The sequence below is a fragment of the Homo sapiens genome, chromosome 5, assembly GCF_000001405.40.
Source record: "Homo sapiens chromosome 5, GRCh38.p14 Primary Assembly".
Taxonomy (NCBI): Eukaryota; Metazoa; Chordata; class Mammalia; order Primates; family Hominidae; genus Homo; species Homo sapiens.
Window position 1 is genome coordinate 79,135,752 of NC_000005.10, and position 4,437 is coordinate 79,140,188.

The window sequence follows — 4,437 nt, forward strand, 5'->3', positions numbered from 1 at the left end:
GAAAACTCCACAGTTGTTTGCGATTTGATGATATAAATAAATAATAGCCTCATCATTGTCAATAAATATTTACTGAATGCCACTTGGTGGTATGTTTCCAGCGGACTGAAATTGTTAATTAATTATTCCCCTGGCTAAACAGACAGCCGACTAAAACAAGTAACACTGTTCAGAGGGCAGGGAAAATGTTACTACCCTAGACTCAGCCTGGTGCTGAAAAATGAAAATGTCATTCCTCCCCACAGGTACTGTTTTCTAAGGAGACTTGGGTCTGTGGTTTTTCATATTATGAACTGTTTCTATTTTCAAGGTTCAGAATTCTTTGTAGATTTGCATAAGCTAAATATTCTAAAAATCATCAAGTGAGTAATTTTTGGTTTAGAGTCCTTCATCTACCTAGGAAGGGAGAGAGCTGGCTTCTCACATTTTGAGAATAGGAGAGTGGAATTTGGGAGCTAGACACCTCAGGATTTTTTTCCTTCCATCAGGCCATTCTCAGCAGCTTGATGACTCCCAGATTTCTCTCTCCAGCCTGGACTACTCCCCAGCATTCAGGCACATGATATCAGCCTGGCCTGTAGACCCAAGCCAGCGGTCCGTGGCCCGGACCCTGTACCTCAGGCCCCAAGCCACTTCCCATGGCCATTCAGGCAGATGCCCCAGGTCTGGAGCAGGTCCCACATGGATCCTGGTTGTCAGAGGCACCTTCCTCAAAATTGTTTACATCCTCCTCCAGTGGCTGAGAGCAGCCAGGGCCAGCTGTGCCATCTAGGAAGGGAACCCCAAGCCTGGACCAGTCAGCATGGGACCCAGTCCTCATTTGTCTCCTTCTGAGTGTTCAGTGACCCTGTACATCCCCGTACCATGTCCCTCACACCCACCCCACTCCTGGAGTGACCAAGTGCCCTAAGAAGCCTAAGGCTTTATGTTGGTCCTGGTTCCAGGAGGGAGCCCTGGTGATAGGATGGCTTCTGCTGGCAGGAACTGTATTTTATCCCAAGATCTGGTGAGATTGGGCTACCCAGTATGGTGCTGACACTCTGATTTTGGCTGACTCACATCAGACACAGGACAAGTTCAGGACCTTTGCCCCTTGCCTTGAGCAGTGAACGTAGGCCTTCATTGGCTCTCACCTGTGAGGGTTCTGACTGCAGCAATACCTATGGTCTGCAGCACTCAAGCGTAAACAAGAATCTAACATAAAATGAATTATTGACACTTCATGTATATATATATATATATATATGAATATATATTCATATATATGAATATATATGAATATACATATGAATATATATATGAATATACATATATGAATATATATATTATATACGAATATATATATGAATATATACGAATATATATACGAATATATAAACGAATATATACGAATATATATACACGAATACATATACGAATATATATATACGAATACATATACGAATATATATATACGAATACATATACGAATACATATACGAATATATATATACGAATACATATACGAATATATATATGAATATATACGAATATATATATGAATATATACGAATATATATATGAATATATACGAATATATACGAATATATACGAATATATGTGAATATATACGAATATATGTGAATATATATGAATATATGTGAATATATATGAATATATGTGAATATATGTGAATATATATGAATATATATGAATATATGAATATAAATGAATATATATGAATATATATGAATATATATATGAATATATATAAGAATATATATACGAATATATATGAATATATGAATATATATGAATATACATATATGAATATACATATGAATATACATATATACGAATATACATATGAATATACATACGAATATACATGAATATACATACGAATATACATGAATATACATACGAATATATATGAATATACATACGAATATATATACGAATATACATATACGAATATATATACGAATATATATACGAATATATGTGAATATATATACGAATATATGTGAATATATATACGAATATATATATGAATATATGTGTATATATATGTGAATATATATGAGAATATATATGTGAATATATATGTGAATATATATGTGAATCTATATGTGAATCTATATGTGAATATATATGTGAATCTATATGTGAATATATATGTGAATCTATATGTGAATATATATATGAATATATATGTGAATATATATGAATATATATGTGAATATATATGAATATATATGAATATATGTATATATACGAATATATATGAATATGTATATGAATATATATGAATATGTATATGAATATATATATTGGTATAGATATAGATATATATGTTAGTTTGAGACAGTCGTTCTGTCACCCAGGCTGGAGTGCAGTAGTATGAGTTCAAGCAATCCTCCCATCTCAGCTTCCCAAGTAGCTGGGACTACAAGTGCACACAACCAAGCTGGGATGATTTTTGTATTTTTGTAGTGATGGGGATTCACCATGTTGCCCAAACTGTTCTCAAACTCTGGGCTCAAGTGATCAGCTCACCTCTGTCTCCCAAAGTCCTGGGATTACAGGCATGAGCCACTGTGCCCAGCCTGTTCCCATATATTCTTGGTAAGACTTGCAGTTGTGGTCATCATCAACAAAGCACAGTAACCACCTCACAGAGAGTCATTTAATGGATGCCAGTTTTCAGAAGCATCCATTGATGCTTAATGTACCACCAGGAGTAATGATATAACCAGTATTAAACAAATGGTGTTGGGGAGCTACAGAAACAAGATCCATATTGTCTCAATACAGTTTCCAAAGAAGCATGGCATTGTCAGTAATAATGGCATTGCTATGTTTTTCTCACAATGGGAGATATGAAAGTATCACATGTGACAATAAAGAACAAGAGATTGTCCCTGTTCCTCAATAGGGACAGATGGTGTCTGGATACTATGAAGAATCTTTATGTGCACTAATTGGACAACAAGCAGTTACCTCTTCTCAACCCATTATTCTAAATCCTCATGAACATGTCACTCACTATACCTCACACAGGCCCATGAATGTTTAGATATGTTTTTAAATCAAATACCTTTAAAAATATATTTTAAAATCTAATTTTATATATATATATATATATGTAGGTGCTCCATAAAAATATTTTCCCAGAGCTCTCCACACCCAAGGAGCAGCCCAGTTGGACTCTGAAAACAAGGTCCTGATCTTCCCTTGCCCACTTAAACTTGTCTCTCCCACAGGATCTTTCATATTTGAAAATGGAAGTTCTACTCTTCTAGTTGCTCAAGCCAAAATCTTGAAGTCATCCTAGACTTTTCTCTTCCTCTTATACTCACATTCAATACATCAGCAAAGCCTGTCAGATCTACCTACAAAATGCATCCAAATTTGACTGCGTTCCACTTCCTCCTCCTTATTTCCTAGGGAGTAATGGACTAAGCTGCCATCATCTCTCACCTAGAATATTTCACAATAAATTTCTCTACAAGTTCCCTTAATTCCTCCCTAGTCTCCCTCAGATCTATTCTCCATAGAGTGTCCTGAATGATTCTTTTAAGAACTAAGTCATATCATGTCAGTCATCATTTCAAAACTTTGCAGTTGCCTTGTGTCACAGATCTTGAGTCATGCACTCAGATGTCCCTTCAAGGAAGGACAGGCTGCCCATCTGTGGGTTATGTGACTGCAGCCCCCAGCTGCCATCCCCTTCAATGTCAAAGCTGCAGACCCTTTGTTCAAAGTCACATCCTTCCCAGGCCAGCCTGCATCTGATGCCTGAGCAAAGCAAGGGCATAAAACCCTGGCATTCTGGCCTGACTAGCGGCAACTCTGACAGGAGATATTCTCTCCAGAACTCACCACCAGATTGGCCTAGGCATTTTTTGACCTGCATTGCAGTTCAGCTTCTACTTCTGCCCAGTCCTATCTCCTCTTCCTCTCTTTTCAAAAGTGTCAGACTGCACTGCAGTCTGAAGGGTGTCTCTGCCTACTCCTGTGCCTTCTACCTTTAATTTTCACTAGTATTTCCACTGCCCCTCCAGCAAAATCTTGCACTTCTATGTCCTTCTCAGCATGTGATTCCCAGAGGACAAAAAATGGCTCATTTTCCTTGACTGCCCTATGTGAAATAGCAACACACCCCTCTTCTATATCCTCTATCTTCATTGGGGTGCTTATTCTTCTCCATAGTGATTGTTACCACCTGCTGTGCATTTTTGGTCATATTTTATTCATTCACTCATTCATTCATTGTTTCCCCACAACATTAGAATATAAGCTCCTCAAAGGCAGGAACTTGACTTTGTTCACTTCCATACCTGAGTGCCTAGAATAATGCCTTGGGTATAGTAAGAGCTCAGTAAATATTTGATGAATGAAAAAACATGAATGCATATTTGGGAGACCCTTGCTAGAAAGAAGAAAACTTGAAAA